Below are 24926 nucleotides of genomic sequence, written 5' to 3'. Positions count from 1 at the left end.
ACTTGACACTGTCGACATTTGGGGCCAGATAATTCTGTGCTTATGAAGGGTTGCCCTGTAAAATCAACAATATCTCCATATGTTGTCAAATGTTCCCTAGGTGTCAAAATCAACTCTATTTGAGAACCAATGGTTTAAAGACAGGAGTTGAGCAGTGGATCAAAAATTTAGGCCTATCTATGCAAAATAGTAAGGAATGAATCAAAATAAAGTTGTGCAATAGATACAGATGACTAGTGATACCATATTCTGTCTCAGCAATTAATAATGGTACAAAGTAATTACAAAATGACACTCATTGTTAAGCCCCTCATTCGTTATATTTTATTTTAACTTCATAAGGTATGACATAAATATTATTTTGGCTCCTATTTTATAGAAAAGAAAAATAAGGTTGGTAGATAGTAACATCATAGTAAATATTATATTATTATTCACGTAGGCCTAAATTCACAAACTATGAATAATAATTAGAGGATGCTGGCCAGGCACGGTGGCTCACGCCAGTAATCCCAGCACTTTGGCAGGCTGAGGTGGGCAGATCACGAGGTCAGGAGATCGAGACCATCTTGGCTAACACTAGCCATCTCTAGTAAATATACAAAAAATTAGCCAGGCGTGGTGGCGGGCGCCTGTAGTCCCAGCTACTCAGGAGGCTGAGGCAGGAGAATGGCGTGAACCCGGGAGGCAGAGCTTGTAGTGAGCCGAGATCATGCCACTGCCCTCTAGCCTGGACCACAGAACAAGACTCCATCTAAAAAAGAAAAAAAAGAAAAAAAGAATTAGAGCATGCTGCCTTAGTTTTTTTGTATGTTTCCTTCTTGGAAAGGAAGCAGTGTTTGGATACCCTAGATCTAAGCTTTAAGAGTTGGTAAGTATCAGTGGACTCCAGGAATTGCACAAATAATAATCAAGGTTCTTTTCATGTGCTAATTTACTTCTTCCAGCTATCAATACTGCTTATTACCTACATTAGCATAGTAAGACACAGAGACAAAGCTGAAGAGAAAATGTTAGGATTTCATTTCATGTGCTCACATTAACTCTGGCTTCATTGCGTTGTCATATTATAGTTTTCATTTTTCTACATTGCCACAGTTTTATTTCATTGTATGTACTTTTATATGTGTTTCTGTAAGCATTGGAATCATTTGAAAGAACATGGGTTATTTGTAAATATTAATAACTCAGAAGTTCAACAGTATGAATGGTAGAGCCACATAAACCCATGTAAAATTCAGAATTTAATGTGAATTTTAGTAAAGTATTTAAATTTTCTCTTTAAATAATTTGAGTGTTTTCTCAGTTGCAACATAAATATGACCTCTGCTATGTTTTTTGGTAGATGTAATATTGGAAGATATTTAATATGCAGAGTTTATCTCTGGCTATGTAGATATTCAAAAGTTATATGATTCACCTCCGTTTATTTTATGACTGTCAGAATAAAGGAAAAATTCATAAAGTATATCTTCAGTGCTAGATGTAAATCAAATAAAATATGTATGGTGGGGCCATTTTTATTTGAATTTGCTCCTGTTGATAGGGACTGTGCTTTGTGGCTGTCTGATAGATATGAAACATTTTTATTTATTTCTTTTCCTTTTCCCAAAGTGAGATGACTATCACTGTGACTCATTCTTTTAAGTTGCTTCTATATGGTGACTAATGAGTTCACTCAAACACCTGGTCAATCCACTACACAATATCCAGCTGTTCACTTAATAGAAATAGCGCCTGCAGGCACACACCAGCTTGGTGTGCAAAAATGAAATGCATATTTGAAAAGCTGTTTTAGGCTCAAATTATTAATAAGTTACCTCCATCAGAGCACTTTAAATATAGGGGAAGAAAATTGGCCTGGAGGAGGACAGGATCTTAATATATTTATTACAAAATTGAAAAGAAACTGTTTTGCTATTGAAATGAATATAGCAGTATGGGGTGTGTATGATTTTACAAGGAGTTTGCAAACATTAATATACTATAATATGTAATAATCACATAACTGGGGCTGAGATATATTCCTAATAAATGGTAAAAAAAAATGTAGGTATTACACGCTCTCTAAAATTCTCTCAAGGACGTGAAGTTTTACTTGGATTTTGAAAAATTGATGTATATATAGCCTGAGAGAGTTGAAAAGATGTCTATTCACTAAGATGGGTAGAATGAAGTGCAGAAAAAAAGACAGGAAAGTGGAGGACAAATATCTAGGAAAATAGATGGACAAAGAATAATCTGGTGGTATTATGCAAGATGAATATGAGTGTCTGTAGGGTAATAGGGGGAGCAAGTTTAGCAGTGAGAACAGTATAAAATCTATTGCGATTATTCAAACATGAAGTAAAAAGAGGCTGAACTCACCGAATTGCGGTAGAATAGAAATGACAGATGTGTGAGATATTGCACATGATAAATCAGGTCTTCTTTTTTCAATCTCCAAAATAGCCGGATAGTTAAATATGCTGGTAATACAAATTTATGGGTGTGGTAAACAAGAAACAATGTAAATGAGAATTTGAAAGGGTCTGGAATGTTTTGATAAACAAGCTAGTTGGCAAGCACATTTAAATGACAGCTCCTGTGAAGAAAAATATGTTCGATAATAATTAAACACCATCAGGAATTAATGGTTTGATTCATGAAGGAGCAGTGCTTATCTTTCAGTCAATAGAACCCATAGCTACATTTATCATCCACACAAAATAATATTTATCACATTTTAAAATTTATAAAACATTTTTACATACTTTATCTCATTTGACATTAAAAGGCCACCTTCAGGAAGACATAGCTCATATTGTAATGGGCATTTTTTAAGTGCAGTCACTCATTGATTTCATTGTGTAGCCATCCCATTGAGTAGGAGTACATTCCCGGCTGTATAGCAGAGATGCTATGTTAGGCAGAGACTTATTTGCAGTTGTAAGCTTAAGAAGGTGTATCAGTCATTGTCCTGGAAGGAAAAATTGTCTTCGAGGAACGTTTAAAATGTTTAAATGTTTGCAGTACCCGGCTGGGCGTGGTGGCTCACGCCTGTAATCCCAGCACTTTGGGAGGCCGAGGCTGGCGAATCACGAGGTCAGGAGATCGAGACCATTCTGGCTAACACGATGAAACCCCGTCTCTACTAAAAATACAAAAAATTAGTCGGGCATGGTGGCGGACGCCTGTAGTCCCAGCTACTCGGGAGGCTGAGGCAGGAGAATGGCGGGAACCCGGGAGGCGGGGCTTGCAGTGAGTCGAGATCGTGCCACTGCACTCCAGCCTGGGCGACAGAGTGAGACTCCATCTCAGAAAAAAAAAAAAAAAAAAAAAGTTTGCAGTACTCGAAGGTGAATGAAAGCAGGGAGCTTTTGTCTCTATGGAAAGAGGAAGGTGAATTTACAAGAACCCCACAGGAACTACCATTTGGTAGAGAAATGTGACCAACATGTAGGAGCCTGGGAGGGGATCAGCAGGGAAGCAGGAAAATAAATTCTTCACCTTTTCCTACTCCCTGCTCCCTATAATTCTGATCTTCTCTTAACTGCTTCTCGGTAGCCAAACCCATCCACGAGCCAGTGGAATGGAATCTGTTGACCTAGTCTGTATGAGGAAGCCTCCCTAGAGCTAGAGAAGAGTAGAACTATATGGCAAGTGGCTTAGGAAGGAAAAAAATATCCAGCAATAAATCTGTGGTGTGTCGTTAAGAAAAGGTGTCAAAATAACTACAGTAAATTATACGACTATATGCATCTTCCTTACCCAGAGATTCATTCTAGGCGAATGGTCAAAAACAATTTTTTCCAGAGAAGTTTACTCAGATTTGTCAAGTGAAAATGTCCTGGTCTAACTTAACTGGACCAGAAAAATTACCCTAAAAAATATATGGGATTGGGCATGAGTAAAACTGACCATTTTTGAGGGCACTGTATGTTCAATATGCCCCAGATAGATCCATAATAAAAACATTATGTGCACAAACATTAGTCGGTTTCCTGAAGTTCTGGTAGCCATAAATAAAAGTAATTGTGTATTGTTTTCTGGATCCCACAGTTTTTTTTCTTTATCATATTGCACAAATTGAGATGCTGCTTCAAGTTCCCTTACATGCTTTTTAGAAGAGTCCTGTTTCCAGAAGTAATTTATGAATAATTCACTCTTTCACCACTTAGAAAGTTAATTAAAACATAGAGTTGCCATAAAGTTCCTAATTATTCCTATAACTATTTCATAAATAAGTAGTTTAAATTGAATATTCAAATGTCAAGCCCATGGTAAAATTCTCCAAAAATTATTAAGTGTTGTGGCAGACACTATCAGATCTCACTAACACACATAGTCTGCCTCTCCTTTGGTACCCACCATATTAATTTTAGATCATGTGATTGGCATTGGCAATTTACTCATAAAACAGTTATGTGTCTGGATTTTGTCAGACTCCGTCTAACAGCAGGGGCACAATTCTCTAAGTTGTCCTCCTTCGTCGTGACAAACACTGATACCCAATACCACAAAGGCTACAGGGAAAGATGCTGGGGACTGCTGCACCTTTGGTGCCTATTTGATTACAATGAGCAGAGCCCCTTGAGGACCAGCAGTAGAAATATACAAAGAATAAGTATTAACTTTTATTGTTTTAATACCCTGATATTTTGAGGATTGATACAAAGAGATCCACCTTTAAGAATGCAGCTAATGAGACTTCAAGTAATAAATAATGTCCTAGCATAGTTTGGGCTTACAATGGGTCCACTGGCTCAAAAGACTTATTTTCACTTCCCTTTTTCACAAATGTATAATTGGAATAAACATTATATTCTGTCAGCTGAAAAAAATGTTCATATTTGTTCCTTGGTTAGTAGGGTGAGATCTGCAGTAGTGAAGAAGGGCAAGTAGAATTATCAATAAGTGCTGCTTCCTACTCAACATATTGTGTCAAAAGTAATATAGTATTGTGTGGCAGGGGAAAATATGAGATTGGATATTCTTGAAAAAATGACACAGGTGATATTCCCTCATTACATCCTCTTTTTGATTTACCAGTGTGACCCTTACAAAAGCACTCTGGAGAATAAAAGTAAATGAATGCAAATTCAAGAAAATCATAGATCCAATTACAGCTGCTATTCCAGATGTTTATTTGCTCAAGTAGATTGGCACTCACTCAGATTCACTAACATACAGACATTAATGTGGGAATAGCAATTTTCCCCCACCCCTCTGAGAAAATAAGGGCATCAACGATTACATTTATGTAAAATGGTAACAATATACATTTATGAATTAGCTCGAGGACTATGTTAACTCTCATGCCATTTGTCTGACATAGTCCAAAGAGACTGTACCTGACAAGAATATCACATTGTTCCACTATATTGTTGACATCGTGTTAATCCAATCAAATCAGAAAGTAGCAAGTATGTTGGTCTGGAGTGTATGTGATACAATCTACCTAGTTTCAGAGGCCATGGAGCATGCCTTGACAGCTCTCCAAAACAAACAACAAATTATTGTACCTAGTTTCATCTACCATAGGAAAGGAAACTCCTGAAGCAGAGAAATCAATGTTTGTTTTTTTAAACCATGTTTTATAGTGAACCTTTTCATTCTGAGCAGAATATATAGTAACATATCATGGTGGGAATTTAAAGAGCAATTATTACAAAACTCTGTATTGAGGAGGTTTCTACCGTGGTGTTGATGAAAATTCAGAGAATTAAAAAGTGTGCGATAGGTTTTTAAGGTTTAACTGAACAACCTTCTATTGGATGTAGAAGATCATATAAAGTAAAAGGCCAAGGATTGTATAAAATTATTAAATTAGTCTATTCTGTATGTAGAGTTGAAACCTAAATAAACATGGAAGAAATATTTAGAGCATGTTAAATTGCTTGAGGAATCCAAGTGAGAATGATAAGAAGGAAATAGATTTCTGGATCTGAGCTAGAATATACATATATAAAATTTGAACTGCTAAACACATATTTAATATCAAAATCCAGAAGCCTCAAAGAGCTGACTTTAGTTTGACAAAGAAGTGGAATCAAAAATAACTCTTTGGTTACTGCAACAGTTTTTTTAAAGGAGTAGAATGGGCAAAGGATACTAAGAGACAAACATTCAGTAAGGGAACAATCAAGAGTGCTGGGTTATCAAAATGAATACAGATATGTGCTTAAAGAAAAATGGACAAATTAGTTATATCCTTCATTTCAGTTGGAGTAAAATATGAATAAAAATGTGATCATTTGATTTGATGTTGAGAATGTCATTTTTGTGTTCATTGGAATGGTGGGGAAAAAAAAAAAGTCTTTTGCCAATTATGCCAGATGTGGCTTTTGGTAAAGACAAATCAGAGACAGTTAGAGAATGGTAATTGAGTGATGCTGAAATGGAATCAGCAATGTACTTTTTTTTTTTTTTTTTTTTTAGATGGAGTCTCGCTCTGTCTCCCAGACTGGAGTGCACTGGCGCAATTTCCCAAAGTTGTGGGATTACAGGCATGAGCCACCATGCTGGGTGCAATGTCCTTTTTTAAGAGGCAATTTTGCTCTAAGAGAGGTAGAAGAGTGATATGGGAGTAGTGAGATTGGAGAGTATATAAATGCCAGGGCAAAAAAAACAGAGCTTTCTACATTATTTTCCTTTCAAACTTGGAGAACCAAGACATGCATGTTTCTATGATGTTTGAGATTTTTCAGTAAAGTAGGGTAAATGAATAAAGAAAGAGAGAAACAGAATAAATATAATATGGAATCATGTCTTTTCAAAAGGTAAGTGAGATAGGAAACTGAGAAGAAAGGAAATGCTACACTCCTGTCACAACATTAGCCAGAAACAAATCATCTGCAAGTTAATGTCTCTCTCTAGTTACGCTTTCTGTAAGCCCTGATGGATCATTTTACTGGAACATTATGTATATTTGGTTATTTTATTATTCTCTGTCCTTGAAACCCACATATAAACATTTGTTATTTATTTGAGACTCTGTTCATATTTTCTTTGAAAAAAATGGTATCCACCTGCATGCTGCATCAACTCATCTCATGTCCACCAATGAAATGAAACTATCTTTTATTCTCAAAAAATATATACAGTCTTTTTCCTACTGTCATTTTTCTCTCTATTTTTTTTATAGTGTTTTATCACATCCAGTTGTTCCTCCACATATTTGAATATTTGTGCTTGCTAGTGCCATATTCCATATTCCATTTCATATTACCTCTCTGTTCCCGTATATAATAAACTCACTAAAGAAGACTGTCCCATGCAAGTGATTTGTATTGAGCAAAGCCTTCCCGTACATGCACTATTTTCTAGATTCTCACCATTTGATGCCTTTCACTTGCCATTCAATTTTGTGCAAAACATATTGATGTCAAAGAATAATGTTTTCTGAGGAGTTGGTCTGCCAAAGTTGTGGGAGTTTCAATCTTCAAAAGGAATAAATAGACAACAGTTTGACTATGTGGCTTAGTCTAAAGTGTAATCTTAGAGATTTATACTAAAACTATACTACAATATATACAGATCTGGATTTCCTTATATGCTCTTCTGCAATGTAACTTCACTAGCTCTCACACATCATAAACTCTCCAAAAGGTAATTGATTTCATGTTTGTGTACAGTGACAACTGCTTCTTTGTCTCAGCACATTTCCAGTCATTCCTAAATAATTTATTGAAAAGTTAATTTTTAAAATAAATAAAAAATACTCACTGCTTCTTCCTTGGTGTTTTTGTGAAAATAAAAGATGTTAACAATATATTATACATTATTATTAAATTTTCGTTATGACTATTCAGGTATTTTTACATAAATATAATTAATATTACTTAAATAATGTAAAGATGTTGAAAATGATAAATCAGTAGAGCTTTCATTTATTTGAAACTATCACAACATATGTGTGGTTAAAATAAAACATTATCTGGAGACTTTATAATTTTATTTCTACATTTGTGGTTGTGCAACGTAAATATTAACAATAATTTCAAAGTAAAATTTTGCAATTTCAGAAAAGATCTATAAAGACATTTGAAGTCGTAAGGCTACATTGATGTTAGCTATGCTTTGTGACAAAACTATGCCAACTATACCAAATATTATCTAAAATTAAAGATAAATTGATTTCATTCAAAAAGATTTGCAATTATTTTGCTTCAGTAGAGATATTGTAATGAAGTAATATAAAAATTAGCCATCAAAGACTTGACTTCTGAACACATAGAAAATGATCTGCCTCACTGAATTCTTGTTAATTTTACAAAGTGAGATGTTTATAGCATACAACATTGTTATTATATAAATTTATAATACATTTCACATTTATTGATTTTCTGTTTATTTCCTTGATTTTATTTTTCTCCTAGTGGTGGCATTTTATCTTTAGTTAAAACATTTCAATAAGATCCCTTTACTGCACTGATGCTGTCATCAGACTGAGCCAAAAACATCTGAAAATGTTGACAAAGCAAGGTGATTTTGAATTTGTGACAAGCACTGCTTTAAGCTTCAGTTTCACAGAAAGAAAACAGTCCCTTTTACAGACCTACATTACAAGTAAGTACACAAGCAAGTATCAACATAAATATTTGAAAACAAATGATTATATATTTATCAATTAAATTGGTATTGGGATGTGTGTGTGTGTTACTCTTCACTTCAAACACTAGGAATACCAGATAAGCTACCATCTATGTATGGATGATAAATAAAATATGATTAATATCACACTGAAAATAGTTCTCATAAAGCCCATTTAGGGATTTTGTTACAGTACTTGAAAAAAATCGATTTGCTAGCAACATAATAAAATCTTAGAAATTTTAAAAAGTGATGTTTTCTGGAATGTCATCACAGCTAAATACATCAGATAATGTGATATATGAGAGAAAAAGATTTTATATCCTTGTATTCTTGGTGTATTAAATAATTGATAGGGTTGTCTTCACTATAATATTAAAAAGGCATTGCCCTTCTAAATGGTATATGTTTTAATAATCATTTTCTCAAATTGTTAGGCTTAGTGGGTTTGATTTTAATTTAATAATTTATTGACTTTGGCATAAGATTGCATAACTGCAGGAACAAAGATTTTTTAACATTTTATTGTATAATTTTCAATAAAACAGAATTCCAACAGTTGTGAGAAATGAAAAAATCAAATACTATATGAGCTTAAGTTCTGCTGAAAATTTGCTAGGTTAAAATAAGAGCACGTTGGGCACTTTAACACTTCAAACTTAAGCAAAATATAATATTCTGGTCCACAGGTACACACAATGGCTATTTTTGCAGTCCAGTTTCTTTAGAAATTGCATACCTATTTCAATGTAATATTCCTAAAGTGCTTCAGGGTAATTTTTACAAATCATGATCTTTTGGAATAATTCATTAATTTAACTAATATTTATCAATGTATGCCTACTATAAAATCATTCCTGAATATTATCAATTTTAATTCAGTGTGAAATTCTTCCTCCTTAACTTTAATTCTCTTTCTTTCTCTCTTTTTTTCCTCTCCCCTCCTTTCTTTGTTCTTTCCTGACCACCCTCCTTCCTATCCTCCATCCTTTATTTCTTGTATTTTTGAAAGAGATAATTTGGGATTCTTTGGCAGCCAAGAGGATTGGCAGCCAAGCTAAGCGTGTATGGAATATAAAGAGAAAACACTTGAGATTGAGGTAAATCTTGAACAGCATTGAAAGTCAAGTTGGCGTTAACTAGATAAAATGTGACTAGGAGATGGGCATAGGCAAATAAACACATGGAAAGGTGAGGGAAAGGGCAAAAATCAAATAATGTAATGACACTGAGGGAGTATACTTTGCATGTGAAGAAGTGACATAAAAAAGGTCATGCAGGAAATGAGGGTACATGTTGTTACAAATCCTAGTTGCCATCACAAGAACTATTACTTTTAATATAAAAAAATGAGGAAAGCACAGGATTATAAGAAGAAAATGTCAGGATCACAATTGCTTTCTGAAAAACATCTTCACTGCCTCTATTGTTCAGTAAATTGTAAGATAAAGTACTTGTGGGAAGATCTTTGTAAGTTTTTATTTAAACAGGAATCAGCTGGGCTTGGGAAGCCAGGGCGGATCACTTGAGGTCAGGAGTTTGAGACCAGCTTGGCCAACATGGCAAAACCCCTCTACAAAAAATACAAAAAATTTAGCAGCTCGTGGTGGTGCATGCCTGCAATCCAAGCTACTCGAGAGGCTGAGGCACAAGAATTACTTGAATCAGGGAAGTGGAGTTTGTAGTGAGCTAAGACCGCACTACTGTACTCCACCATGGGTGACAGAGTGAGACTCCACCTCAAAAAAAACAAAAAAAAACACAAAAACAGAAATCAATCAGCTTTGATGATTAAAATAACACAGACCAACAACGATGATTGAAAAATCATTTAAAAAAGCACTATGTAAAATATCATTTAAAAATAGCACTATGTATTATTACTATGTATACATATGTACATACACATATACATCACATATTTCTTGTGTATATTAATAACATTATTTACCCTATCATAGGTAAGTTATTTCAATTTTTAATTTTTTGATTTAATAAGGATATTTGTCTCAATTAGTTCAGCTTAAGAAAACATCTATTCAATTTGGACATCTATTTGTCCAGCACAAGCTTTTCTGCTAAGCAACAATTTTCCAGCTGCATAAAGGCATTGTCAATTGCATTTGTCACAAGTACTTCAAATCTAATTTGTTCTAAACAGGGTTTACCTTCATGATACTTTACAAAAACTATTTCAAATTATTGCTCATATGGCTTATTGATATCCTATTAGTCTACAAGCAAGACATTTTCCAATCCTCTAAATCTTCCCTTCCCTCAATTTGCTATGTCTGACTGAGAAACCTTATTGCATCTATGTCATGAATACTTTTAAATCCGATTTCCTTTGTTCACTCACCCTGGTGAATTAGAAAAGATATATATCACTAATTTACTATTTTCCATATTTTCTCTAAGTATCAATGACATTAGGCTAATTGCTTTTTCTATTTTCTATTCTATCACATTTTTATTCCATCCCCCAATTTCAGTCCATCTTTCACTTTCAGTCCATTAACCAAAACGTAGACTAGAATGCATGTCTCCTACTTTCATCCTTAGAGTTCTTATCTATTGCACTCTAAAACAAGATGTCTCGGAATAGGCTAGGAAGCCTAGTATTATCTTGAACACTTCAAACCCTTTAGCTTCATATTGTCACTCCTTTTTCCACTTCTTCCCATATGTATGCTTATGCAATATTCAGCTAATTGCACTTTACCTAATTTAATCATTGTTTGTGGCTTTATTCCTTAGCTTATGCTCCCCCTTTGAACAAAATCTCCCTTCCCTCTCTTCTTATTCCATCTGGCTACAGGATACCTACCCTCTGAGACTAATTTGTAAATATATTTTCTTCCCAGCATACTTTCCAAATCACTTCAGGTTGCGATAAATATATTTTCTATATGCTCAAATGGAATCTTAATGTTACAGGTGGAGCTGTTCAATGTTATTTAATAAATCACAATGCAATTTTAAGTACCATTAGACCGTTTTTTCTCATAATTTACTGATATTTGTAGACTCTTATTACTTATTGTCCTTAGCAGTCTACTTTGAATCAGTTACAAGGGCACAAATATCACTTTAAAGTACCTTTAAATTACATCTTTTAAAATTCATAAGAAAAGCATAAAGCAGTACTTATGCTTTTCCTCATCCATGTTTTCAAGAGTTCTGACATTTTCAGAAAGTGTTTCCTGAAAAAGAAAGGTGAGACGGTGTTTAATAAGAAAAGAAAATGCAAGCTTATGAAATAAGAAAACTTTGTGCCATTAGATGATAACCTCTTTATTTTTGGCTTTCTATTGTGCACACAGGCAAGCTCTCATGTAAATTAACGTATCTTTGAAAGTGTATCTATTTTCTAGAAGAAATACATTCCTTGATAAAATCCAGTCTATTGTAATCCCAGCTACTTCGGAGACTGAAGCAGGAGAATTGCTTGAACACGGGAGGCGGATGTTGCAGTGAGCTGAGATAATGCCATTGCACTCCAGTCTGGGCAACAAGAGCAAAACTCCAACTCAAAAAAAAAAAAAAAAAAAAAAAAAAAAAAAAAATCCAGTCTACTAATCACAGTCTAACCTATGTAAAATCTCCTTACATCTGACCCTCAAGCCATCTCAAAATCGAGACTATTATAGAAAGTTTTACGTATGTATGACCTTACTGAATTTATAGCATAAAAAATTTAATTTTTAAATGGCAAAGTGCACCATAAAAAGAAGCCTAAGAAATTAAAGTCTTTTTGTTTATATATCATATCTTGTTTAGCATAATTTTATGTTAAAAATTTACTAAACTAAGATCATGGCTCATTAAAATTTAGCCAATAACCAAACAATTCTTCAAAATGAAAATTTAACCAGCATTATTTTATCTAAGGTGGATGAAATATAGGAGCTTTACCAAATAATTTTAGTTATCGGGTAGTTTAAGTTTAGTTACATTATTGGATATAGGATATACATAAATGTGTTACACTATTGGACGGGACTTGTAAGAGTCTGAGATCTCTTCAGTAGCCTGTTGCTCAAGGAGACTTGCATTTCAGGCTTCTAAAGGCCATAGCAATGTTTTATGAGTTTCCTATGCTGAATCACACTGAGCCTATGAGAACAATTATGGAATTTATTAACATATAGCTATTATTCCTCAGTATATCTAGACTGTTGCTCTATTAGATTTCTGAAGGACCAACTATCTCAGACAGCATCTTCATATCTCATACATTTCCTGGTTGACAAATCCACATTTCCAAATTGCAGTCAGTCTACAATGGAAAAGACCTGCAATCTATGAGATATACATGACCAGCTGGATTTGATTTTTTTAAAGATTCCAATGTTAAAATCGGTTACTGAATAATATCACAAAACATATTTCTTTTTCCACCTAAGCCACTTATTTATGGCAGTAATGTAATGAAGCACATTGATTTATGACAGTTTTTGGTAGCGACATATGAATTTCACATTGAGTTTCTTGCTCAATTAAATGCTTCCATGAAGGTGACTAAGTCATAACTTTTAACATCTGAAAGCCTAGATCTTCTGATGACTAATTATTATAATTACTATTTTTAGATTTATTTAGTGTCTTTTAAAATGACAATGTGATAGACATGAAAGACTCCAATCTTTCATAGTGCCACAAAAGATAACATAAAAATATTTAATATTCCCAAACGGCTATATGCTTTATATAAATATTAATAACTTATTAGTAAATAATTCTGTTTTACACTCAAATATTTTGAAAACCTTTTGATACCTGTATTTCCAAAGATTACATTTTCAGACTGGACTTCTAGAAGTCTGAGATCCTTTCAAAAACCTGATACTCAAGGGTATTGTGATATCAAAAAGTCATTCTCAGGTTGAATATACATATTGATTTAATCATATATATATATATGTATACACATATATATACCAATTAGTCTTCTATATTTTCAGGGATAATATTATTCCTTTTATATAAGGATAAATGATTTAGCCTAAAATATATGATCACCTAGTGTTGAGGGTGTGGTCAACAATTTTGTTTTATTGTTTAAAGAAAATCTTCCCAAATCATATAGTGAAAAATGGCATATACGTGGCAGCATATGAAAAATGCTAAATTAAAAATGAGAAAGTAACATAGGAGTGGTTAGATTTGATAGGCCTGGGTGATGATCTCTCTTCAGGATGACCTCCACATTCTCTCACTGTTGCCATTAGTAGGTGAGTTTGAGTATTCATAAAACTTTTCATGGTATAACTGACCCTCTATGCATTTGCCATTTTGTACAACAATCTAAACCTGGTTCTTTTTGCTACAGATATTACTAAAATTTCATTACTAATTATGTAGAAGAGAATAAATGCATCTGTGAAAAAGCCTTTTAAATAAGCCTTTTAGTGTAGTTATTGAAGCATTAACCACTGACCATGAAGCAATACAGCTGTTGTTCAATTTCCAGTTTCCTACTCACAATCTATGTGACTTTAGCAAATTATTTATCCATTCCATGTTACAGTTTCCTCATCTGCGATATAAGCTAATACACACCTAACTCATCGATTTTTATAAAGACTTGGTGATTTATTACTTTTAAAGTTTTCCAGTTTTTATGCACACAGAAATGTCAGGGCTTTCATTATTCCTGCTGAAGGTATTTTGTCAAACATCCAGATCATGTGTTCTTAACTTGGAGTTCATGGAATCTGTGTGTGAAATTCAGGGATTTTGAGATCCGGCATGGAAACAACACATCTTTGAAATTTCAGATTATTTTCATTGGATATATCTTTTGCAGATACATCAAAAAGCCATTTATAGTTACCTTTATTGCAAAATCATAATTATTTTGATCAACAAAACATTAGTGATTACCATCTTCCTCTCTACAGATGGCTATGCCATAAAACTGGCCATCTATTGAGCTGTATTGGGCCTGGCGATAGTCATTAGGCCACAAAACACTCAAATTCAGAGTTCTCCAATTCTGACCCAGACAAGAAGTTACTTTCCATCATTGCCCATTCACAATCATTTGCTGATCAATATGTAAAAGGCAGTTAACAACCAGCCTAGAGTTTAATGTTCAGCCATTACATTCATTACACTAATCCTTCTTGAAACATAAAACTTAACTTGCCTAGATTTAAATGCTTTCTTATTTATTGTGTTATGAGAAGCATATATATGTTACAATTTATAAAATACTGTAATAATTGTCAATATATTTCATGTTTATTGTAATACTATGTATTTCTATGTAATTTATGCATTTAAACACATATTTTGATGGGTAGTTTGTAAAACTGAACAGATCGTCCAAGTGGGCCATGGCACACACACGTGCACACACACACATTTAACTTTCAGACTCTACCTACTAAGCTGGTTTGTAAAAGCTCAAAGGACACTTTTTTTCATGAAACTTTCATGGTTTTCCCCAAATATAGTAACAGTAACTACTATATATGAAGTGACTTACTTTATATCAGGCAGGCAATTTATATATACCATTCTAATAAGTCAATACAGAAAATCTGCAGGCTATTTGTTTTAATTCTCAGTTTACAAATACAGTCCATAGAATTTCAATAAATACTTAAAACTAACCAGACTGCTACAGGTTGAATTAAAATTACAAATTATAACTTTAAAGCAATATTAGATATATTTCTGTTGTATTTATCTGTCACTTTTTTCCTTATTGTTTCTAGTACATTCTAATGCTTTATATAATTGATATCAGCCTTTTTTTGTGGCAAATGATGCAAAGATTTATACATAGTGGGTACTCACTACATATTTGTTTGACAAATCAAGGCATTGATTTTAATTCAGAGAGGGGAAGCGGAGACAAAGGAAAGTAACAAATCGAACAACATATTAAACTTGGCCGGGCACGGTGGCTCACAACTGTAATCCCAGCACTTTGGGAGGCCAAGGTGGGTGGACCACAAGGTCAGTAGTGCAAGACCAGCCTGGCCAATATGGTGAGACCGTCTCTACTAAATGTACAAAAATTAGCCGTGCATGGTAGTGGGCACCTATAGTCCCAGCTACTCAGGAGGCTGAGGCAGGAGAATCACTTGAACCTGGGAGGCAGAGGTTGCAGTGAGCCAAGATCACGCCACTGCACTCCAGCCTGGGTGACAGAGTGAGACTCCATCTCAAAAAAGCAAAACAAAGCAAAAAAAAAAAAAAACTCATAAACCCACACATTAAATATTCAGAGATTTGAGTCTTTTTCTTTGTTAATTCCTGTAGATAATACTGACTTTTGCAAATTAATTTTTTTTTTGTCTTGAGTTTTGCTTTTTCAATTTGTAAGACCTTAGAGAGTCATTTCAAAAATAGAGCTAAGCCTCTATATACTCATTTCTTAATAGTATATCATTTCCTAAAGAAAATCAAGTGTGTTTTGTTCACTGTGTAAAAATCCATAACACCAAAATAGTTTGATAAAATGAGTTATTGTATTTGTAGTTTACATTTATTCTCTAAATTAACCTACTTTTCTTTGTAGAACCTCCTAATCCATTTAATCACAATAATACTAATATTAATATTATATTAGCCATTTTCCCCCAAGAAATGTGTTCTAAATTGCTCCATAGCACACAAATGCTCTTTTCTCCCATGTTTTCCTTAAAGGAAATATATATCTAAGAGATTAAGTGAGGTTACAAAGTTCACACACTCTTACAAACCTTGATGTTAGGAATCAGATGCTTAGTCTTTCTGGCATTAACGGCATATAATTGTGATAATAGTATTATTCATTGATTTCTTTGTTTCGAACCATTTACTGTACTGAGCACGTTAACACAAATCACTTCAATTAAGCTTGACCAAAAAACAACAACAAAAAAACTTTGCTTCATTATTTCTTAAGTTTTTTCTATTAGGAAACTAAAGAATCAATAATTTTAGAATATTGCTCTAGTTTATAGAGTTCGTAATAGAGTCTTGATTGTAAACTCTAAGTATTGTCTTTTGTAGGCATGTGTTTTTAGCCATTAATCTGTGTGTTTCCTAGGAGACAGACCAATGTGTATTGCCATCCCGCCCCATGCTGGGCCTCTGTTACATCTTTCATGAAAAACCTGTTCATCATTTATTTCTCATGAAAAATCGTTGCATATTTCCTTATCATTTCTTTCTCTGTCCCCTGGGGCATTTCTTATAATAATAGTTGTTAACCATTTACTAATTGCCAGTCACTCGTCTAGATGCTGGGAACAAAACAGTGTATAAAACTAAACTCCCTTTTCACAGAATTTACATTTTAGAGATTTCCTCTTTGAGTAATGGATGATTTAAAAGAGCTTCGCTTTCCTAGATTACAATCACTAATTTTTAATTAGGTTTCATTGTAACTGGATAATACACTATAAATTGTTAATCTTTTTAAACTTATCAACATTAGGTTTATATACAGTAAAGGGTCTACCATGGTGAATATACATGAACACGGGAAAACAATGTTGACTGCCGTTTTCTAGAAATATCGATTAGTACAAAGTGTTATTTGGATCTATGTCTTTATTTTTGCTTTCTTATTATTTCTCCAGTGGTTGTATCAATTATTAAGAAACTGGTGTATAATCTTTTTCTATAATTGTGAATTTATCCATTCTTCTTTTTAATTCTGTCAGATTTGTTTCAAATATTTTGAGCTCTCTTATTAGGTATATACATTATAATTGATATTGTTTTTCTGATAAATTTTTATTTTATTTTATTTTATTATTATTATACTTTAAGTTTTAGGGTACATGTGCACAACGTAAAGGTTAGTTACATATGTATACATGTGCCATGCTGGTGTGCTGCACTCATTAACTCATCATTTAGCATTAGGTATATCTCCTAATGCTATCCCTCCCCTCTCCCCCCACCCCACAACAGTCCCCAGAGTGTGATGTTCCCTTTCCCGTGTCCATGTGATCTCATTGTTCAATTCCCACCTATGAGTGAGAATATGTGGTGTTTGGTTTTTTGTCCTTGTGATAGTTTACTGAGAATGATGATTTCCAATTTCATCCATGTCCCTACAAAGGACATGAACTCATCATTTTTTATGGCTGCATAGTATTCCATGGTGTATATGTGCCACATTTTCTTAATCCAGTCTATCATTGTTGGACATTTGGGTTGGTTCCAGGTCTTTGCTATTGTGAATAGTGCCGCAATAAACATACCTGTGCATGTGTCTTTATAGAAGCATGATTTATAGTCCTTTGGGTATACACCCAGTAATGGGATGGCTGGGTCAAATGGTATTTCCAGTTCTAGATCCCTGAGGAATCACCACACTGACTTCCACAATGGTTGAACTAGTTTACAGTCCCACCAACAGTGTAAAAGTGTTCCTATTTCTCCACATCCTCTCCAGCACCTGTTGTTTCCTGACTTTTTAATGATTGCCATTCTAACTGGTGTGAGATGGTATCTCATTGTGGTTTTGATTTGCATTTCTCTGATGGCCAGTGATGGTGAGCATTTTTTCATGTGTTTTTTGGCTGCATAAATGTCTTCTCATAATACTCCTTTTATTGAAGTCCTTTTTATGTTAATATATCTTCTCCAAGCTACATGTGCTGATTCTTTATTTGAAATGTATTTTCTAGCAATTTAATTATTACCTATTTTTGTATATTAAAAGTGGATTCCTTGTAGCCAATAAGAAGTTAGATCTGGCTTTTAAAAATTGACTTTGTCAGTCTATCATCTCTTCCTTTAGTCCTTCAAATCTGTTTCTCACTAGTATAATTTCCACCTAGTCTGAGAAATTTCCTTTATAATTTCATGTAGAACATAACTATTATTCTCTTGATTTTTTATTCACCTGAATATGTCTACTTCACATTCTATTGAAGGTTATGTTCAATGGGTACAGAATACTAAAATGACAGGTGTTTTATTATGTCTTCTTTTTTTTCTTCTTTTCTTTTTTTCCTTTCTCTATGAAATTTGAAAATATTGCTCCTCTGTCTTCTAGTCATGGTTTCTGACAATCCATTCAAATTATTACTTCTTTATGTACAATGTTTCACTTTTCTCTAGGGCTGTGAAGACTTTTTCTTTATATTTGCTTTTTAACATTTGATTTAATGGATATAGGCATAGTTTTCTTTGACTTTATGTTGCAGAATTTTGCTCCTTAGTTCAGCTAAAACCTAGGTTCTCGTCACATGACCAGGAAAATTTAGGAATGCAGACATATTGAAGGGTTAGTAGAACAGGGTTTTATAGGGCAAAAAGAAAAATAAAACTTTCAGCAAAGCAAGAGGGGTTCCTGCTAACAGGTCCTCACCTCACAGATCGATTCCCACATTACCACAGGAGCTGAAGAGAGCAGGCTCCTCCCCTGCATAAGGCATGACATCCACGTGGCTCCATCCACTTCCTCCAGTGTGCATTTTGGGCTCCAGTCCACTGTGGGCATACCCAGACAAGCCCTGGGAAGTTTCCCTCATCTACACAAAAGCATCTGATGTAAACACTTGTGTGACGGGTTGGAAATTTTCCAGGTACACCTTTTTATCTGCCTAGGCATTTGGCTGTCTCATTCCCCCCTCTAAAGAAGTACCTCTAACTGCCATTAGAATAAGGATAAAGATAAGGATGAAGACCAATCTTAATTGCTTCCTATTGTCAGGGAAGCTGTTTTGGGAAAATGGCAATCAGATTTCCCTCAGAGGCCTATTTCAGGGTTCCCAGTAAAAAAGGCCATCATCCAAGGCTCCAGGTGCAGACTGGAGTTTGATGGCCTAAAAGTGAGAAGAGACAAACAGGTTATTAGAAAATATGTATCAAAACGAAACAAGCAGTGGGTAAGGACAACTAGAAAATCCAGACGCCTTTTACCAGTTTGCACAGGGAGAGAGAGGCCAAAAGCCCAACGGGGAAAAAAAACCTTTTACCCTTTTGCTGGCATGTCATGTTTCTGTGTTCCCTTCCCCTGAACCTAATCCTAAGCCAATTAGTCTACGGTTTGAGAAATTAACTCCTCCCAGTTAGAAGGATGCATCTGAGGGAAGTGTTCTGTGGTATGGGACACCATTACCTACCTACCAGTGAATAGAGGACAGAGGAAGAAAAAGGAAAAAAGAAGGCATTTTTTTCAGAAGAGTCCCAGGGGTTCAGGACATGTTCTAAAAGGGTGCAGACTAAAGATGAATGGCTACTCATCTAGAAATAGGGGAGCATGTGTGCCTGGTTCCTTTCTTTTTCTAGCAAATACTCAGGGTGTGTGAGGGAGAGAAAGTGAGTTGTTCCTCTTTCTTTCCTCTGTCCCTGTATTGCTGAGTCCCACCAACTGTGACAGGGTGCCACCCATGGGTGTCAAAGTGGCTTTCATCCATGTTAACAGGGGGTCTAGGGGATGGGAATAGCTGCCCTGTCTTATGTCCTCCCTATCTCCCCTGCTGGCAGTAGCCTTTTAGTTCTCTAGACCTCATTTATGCCATGGATACTAGCATGACCTTTATCCATGAAACAGGAAGCTTGGCTTAATCAGCGGGAATTAGTCATGCTCACCTGTGCTGTGCCTTTTGACTTTCATTATTGTCTGGCTTCTGGATCCCTAAGATCCAGTTTTCTTAGGCCTTTGACACAAAGCTTGGAATTAACTTTGGGACCAAAAACGTGTCTCAGCATGGAAGTTGCATAGACTCCTTAACATAAGCCATAATGCTAAAGTGAAGCTGTGGAAATGAGTTCTCCTCCAACAAAGGAAAGAAAAGAGTGTCTTGTGACACACCCAGATAACTGGTGGCTATAGTTATGCTTGCTCAGATTTGGGTGTATGGGGTTTTACTTTGGTTAGCTCCCTTGGTTTTACTTTCCCAAAAAGTAAACCTCCGGATCATGGGCATCCTATTTATTCCCATCAGCTGGCAGGATTTGCAGGATAATTGTTCAGAACTAAAATACTGATCCAGGTTTTTACATTACCCATTCTCTTTTGTCCTTTCTGAGCTGCAGCCAGAGATTGTTGGTTGGTTCACAGGCACAAGCAGGGTCAGTCTAAAATGTAGGTAAAAACTTAAAAAGAAATAATAAGTCTAGAAACTAATGATGATAAGTTTTGAAACATAATTTCTCTCTGTCTCGTCCTCATTTCTGTTAAAAACAAATCATAATAGGAGTGTGTTGCTTGCAATATAGACTTTAGTCTTATAATTGGCTTGATTATGTGCATAAAGTGCAGCAAAAACAATTATTTCTACGTAGGCCCTCTAGATTGGCTTTCATGAAAATCTGTTTCACAAAGAATCTCAGATAAGACCATTTAAAGCTGAGCCCAGCCCTAGGTTTTTATCCTCACACACCTATGAATTGGGTAAACTCCTCTCTTCTTGAGGTCCCAAGAGCATATGATATCTGGGCCTGTTGGAAAGTGACATTCTTTACTCACCGCAGGTTAAGAACCCTGTATGTGGACTGTGTAGACAAACATTTGAGGCCAGTTTTCCCAAGGGGTTCCCATCAGTTCTGCAAGTTGAGCTTGACTGCTTAAAGGGAAGCACACATTTCCAATCAACGCCTGGTAAAACAACCAGTTTCTCCAATTGCATTCTGTTGCAAAAGAAAAAGGATTCTTATTGCACTGATGCAAATGACTATACTGCCATAAGTTAAGAATACTCAATATTAGTTTCCAAATTCTGGAGAAGCCAGGCAGAGAGAGACAAATAATGCTCCAAATTTTGTTCACAGGAGTACACCTTACTCAATTATTAAAGGTCATAAATAGTTCAAAATAAGTTTCCTGGACTCTGAAAAACAAAATAATGATCAGCAATATTCCAAGCAAAAGCTAAAACGATTACTTCAGTTTTCTATTAGTTCAGTCCATTCAGTTAACTCTTGTTTTGCTTGCTATCCATGAACATTTCAATTTTCATGAGCCCTGTATGTTTTTCCTTTATTCCAATGTCACAATCTCCAAAGTTATCAGAAGCCTGCATTTGAGAACACCTGTCAAAGTTCCATAGCTGATTATAAACATCATGTGAAGAGGATAGGATCAAAACAAGACAACAATGGTTTGTGAGTAACAAAATGTCCAGGGTAGTTGCAGTCAGAAACATGATTGACAAATAAATTTGGTTATCTCCATGGTTTACAATAATTTAACATAATAGCTATAATTATGATTGATAGTATATGCTCAAACATTAGAATTTTTTAAATCCCATAAAAGTTTGGAACTATACATTAGTATTATTATTAGTACTATTAGTATTATTCACAAAAATACAACCGAAAAAGGATTGAACACCGTTTTGTCAATCCCATGTACCTAAAACATACCAGATAATCCATTTACCTTACTTTTTTTGATGCTGCAGGTGTCCTCTGTAGCATCCAAAAGTCTGGTATCAAGAAAGACAATTTTGAAACTGAAGTTTGATTTTGGGAAGGCTGTTAAGTATGTTAGGGATTTAAAATACTTGATGTTATGAAATAGGATTCCAGATTACCATGTTATTTACTTTGCTAAAATGATGACTCAGAAATTCTAAAAGCAAAAATCTGTTATAACACTTTACAAATTTTGCTGAAGAGTAGCTTACTGCTTTAAGAGTGCCTTGTTATGCTTTTATTTCAATGCTGAATTTACAGAAAAACCATATAATATTCTTTGAATTTAGTCAATATGTTCACACATGGGATTTCCTTTGCAAGGTTAATTTTTGCAATCCTTCCACAACTTGTTTGAACTTTTACTGTTATCTTATTTAATTCAAAACAATCTTTTAACCTTAGGCAGAATTTTACATTTCTATGCCTTCTTATAATCTTTTACTAAAAACATATTTTACTGTTCTCACATAACTCAAATGTAAATATATTTTTAGTGGTCTCAATTACATGTTATAATGGTAACTCCTAGCAATTTTTACCTTTAAAGTAAAACCTGGTAAGTTGTTTTAATTATGTGCTAGGGGCAGCCAAGGTTTGACTCCTTCCAGCACAACTAAGGGCGTGGTTAGTAACATATGTCTCCGGGCCTTACCAGTTGTGAAGCCAGCAAATTGAATCATTCTCAAAAAGCATTTTATAGCCTTAAAACATTTAGCAAACCTAGTATCTGACGTGCATAATTTAGTCCACCTATTTAAATTTTGATGACATATGCATTTCACCAAATAATCTTTAAGGCTGTTTTTATTTCTCAAAGATTAAAGTCATGAGAACTAAAAGCTACCACAGCTTTTATCTTTCCATTAAAAAATATTTGATCCAAGTGCTTATTTTTCTTTAGGCCAATTAATTAGAGCTGTTTTTATAAACATCACAAATACAACACATATATAACTACACAGCCAGGCAGAAGAAAACTCAGCAGCCACAAGGTTTTTCATTTGCCAGTCTCCTAATAGGATTATTGTCCTCCAGGCGGATCCCTTTAAGAGACAGGGCTAGGAAAACATGCTGCTTCTAGGGCGTAATAAACAGGCATAATTGGGAAGCAAAAACAGATTTTGAGAGGGATCTATCTGCTTTTAATTCCTGGGGTTCCATGAGGAAAACAGATTTCTTCCCAAAAAGGGGTCAGTGGTGCCTTCTGTTTTTCTCAAGGAGTCCCATGCACCCCAGAGTTACCTTAGAGCCTCACGTGCATGCATCAAGAGTGGCAAGACAAAATGGAGAAAAAGAATTCGGCCAACTGAGAAAAAACCCTTTTTCCAGCAAAACAAAATCCAAGGGGGAAAAAAATTAAATAAATAAAGGCCTTTCAAATATGCCTATAACTTGGATATACACTTTTAATTAAGCTGTGTGCTCTTTAAGAAAATTGTTTTAAATCCCTTGTTATCTGGTTTTAGTTATGCCGAGCAGCCAATATTTCTGGCTTTCAAACTTTACTAAAGGCTCAGGGAAAGAAAAATCCAAGGCTGTTGAGGGGAAAAGAATCAACAAATTGCAAAGGTCATCCAGATATCAAATCAGAAGGAGTTTATTCCTTAAGCCAGGATTGAACCCAGCTGCCACTGTAAAATGGTGGAGGCTAAACGAAACATTGCCATGAGGTTACAGGTCACACTTGAAAGACGTAAAACTAGATGGAGACCTGCGGCAAAGTTGCTACTGACCATACAGAAAGCCATGCAAAGCACACTAGATTGGCTACAGATTAAAATCAACCTCATGAATCATTTTTAATAATTAAAACTTTACAGAGAATATAAACAGTGATCCTTATAATTCCTGGCCTAGTAAAATGTCTTCTAAAAGGAAAAAAAAAAAACAAAACTCTCACTTAAAAGTTAACTGCTGGCAGGGTAGAGAAAGGCAGAAAAGTTTAAAGTGCAGAGTTGGAAAGATGCCTGCAGGAAGAAAATCTTATTCTTATGGAAATGGGTTCCTCCAGCAGGGCGAGGAACTTAAGAGGGGAGCAGGGAGCCTCTGGTTCACCTGTCTATCCCTTAAAAACAGGAAAAGGCTGATATTCCCGACCGCTGGAAGAGACAGGAGTGGAGGGGAGGGAGGTACAATTTCCCCTACTCTCAGAAAAAGTCCGACGACACAAAGGCTTAGAAGGTAAAGGAAAAAAAGGGGCGTTTTTGTTCGCATCTTACTCACCATTTCTCAAGCCCCGTGTTTGGGTGCCAAAATGTTGCAGAATTGTGCTCCTTAGTTCAGCTAATACCTGGGTTCTTTTCACACGACCAGGAATATTTAGGCACACGGGCACATTGAAGGGTCAGTAGAGCAGGGCTCTATTGGGCAAAAAGGAAAACAAACAAAAAACTATTTGCAAAGCAAGAGGGGTTCCTGCTACATAGCACCACCTCACACATTGATTCCCAGGTCACCACAAGAGCTCAAGAGGGCAGGCTCCTCCCCTTTGCAAGGCATGAATTCCTCATGGCTCCACCCACTTGCCCCAGTGAGCATGTCAGGCTCCAGTCCACTGTGGGCATGCCCAGACAAGCCCTGGGCAGGTTCCCTCATCTGCACAAAAGCATCTAATGTAAACACTTGTGAAGAAGGCCAGAAATTCTCTAGGGACCCCTTTTTATCTGCCTAGGCATTTTGCTCCCACTTACACTATTTGGAATTTGCTGAGCTTCTTTCATTCGTAAATGTATGTCATTGACTGTACTGCAGATTTTGAAAGTCTTTGGGTATTTAGAAGTATGCCCCAATTTTAACTTTGGGTACCGAAATTACAAATACGTTAGACCTTTTAATATTGTCCTTCACGTTTTGAGGTTTCCTTATTTTTCTGTTTCAAAGTATCTCTTTAGTCTCATTCATTGTTCTGTGTTCTTTATATTGGGGAATGGCTATTGATCTATTAATTTGTACCATTTTCTTTATAT

The 24926-nt window shown here is 35.1% G+C and overlaps 1 long non-coding RNA gene across 1 annotated transcript, besides 4 other annotated features; it reads right to left on the bottom strand.

Annotated features, from left to right (window-relative positions):
* Positions 1-301: 301 nt before the first annotated feature.
* On the bottom strand, positions 302-24411 carry PURPL (p53 upregulated regulator of p53 levels). The gene is made up of 5 exons (NR_038848.1): positions 24184-24411; positions 21008-21168; positions 18902-19064; positions 2368-2468; positions 302-754 (listed from the first exon to the last, which is right to left on the bottom strand). It is a non-coding gene; the product is annotated as a p53 upregulated regulator of p53 levels (long non-coding RNA).
* Positions 23727-24926: an enhancer, noted in NCBI's record as "MED14-independent group 3 enhancer chr5:27471884-27473083 (GRCh37/hg19 assembly coordinates)". NCBI's record gives its function as "activates an origin of replication core promoter dependent on BRD2, BRD4, P300/CBP and CDK7 cofactors, and independent of MED14, by STARR-seq in HCT116 cells {active_cell/tissue: HCT116}" and the evidence as "EXISTENCE:reporter gene assay evidence [ECO:0000049][PMID:35650434]".
* Positions 23939-24146: a silencer, noted in NCBI's record as "fragment chr5:27472664-27472871 (GRCh37/hg19 assembly coordinates)". NCBI's record gives its function as "represses an EF-1alpha promoter that drives an FKBP-Casp9 reporter gene in an ReSE screen in K562 erythroleukemia cells {active_cell/tissue: K562}" and the evidence as "EXISTENCE:reporter gene assay evidence [ECO:0000049][PMID:32094911]".
* Positions 24201-24720: an enhancer, noted in NCBI's record as "OCT4-NANOG-H3K27ac hESC enhancer chr5:27472090-27472609 (GRCh37/hg19 assembly coordinates)". NCBI's record gives its function as "activates a minimal SCP1, AML or CMV promoter by ChIP-STARR-seq in naive and primed H9 embryonic stem cells {active_cell/tissue: H9 hESC(naive and primed)}" and the evidence as "EXISTENCE:reporter gene assay evidence [ECO:0000049][PMID:30033119]".
* Positions 24351-24640: an enhancer, noted in NCBI's record as "active region_22430". NCBI's record gives its function as "activates an Ori minimal core promoter by ATAC-STARR-seq in GM12878 lymphoblastoid cells {active_cell/tissue: GM12878}" and the evidence as "EXISTENCE:reporter gene assay evidence [ECO:0000049][PMID:35858748]".

Source organism: Homo sapiens, chromosome 5, assembly GCF_000001405.40.
Source record: "Homo sapiens chromosome 5, GRCh38.p14 Primary Assembly".
Lineage (NCBI taxonomy): Eukaryota > Metazoa > Chordata > Mammalia > Primates > Hominidae > Homo > Homo sapiens.
The sequence above is the reverse complement of the archived record's forward strand: the minus strand, read 5'-3'. Positions and strand labels throughout refer to the sequence as shown.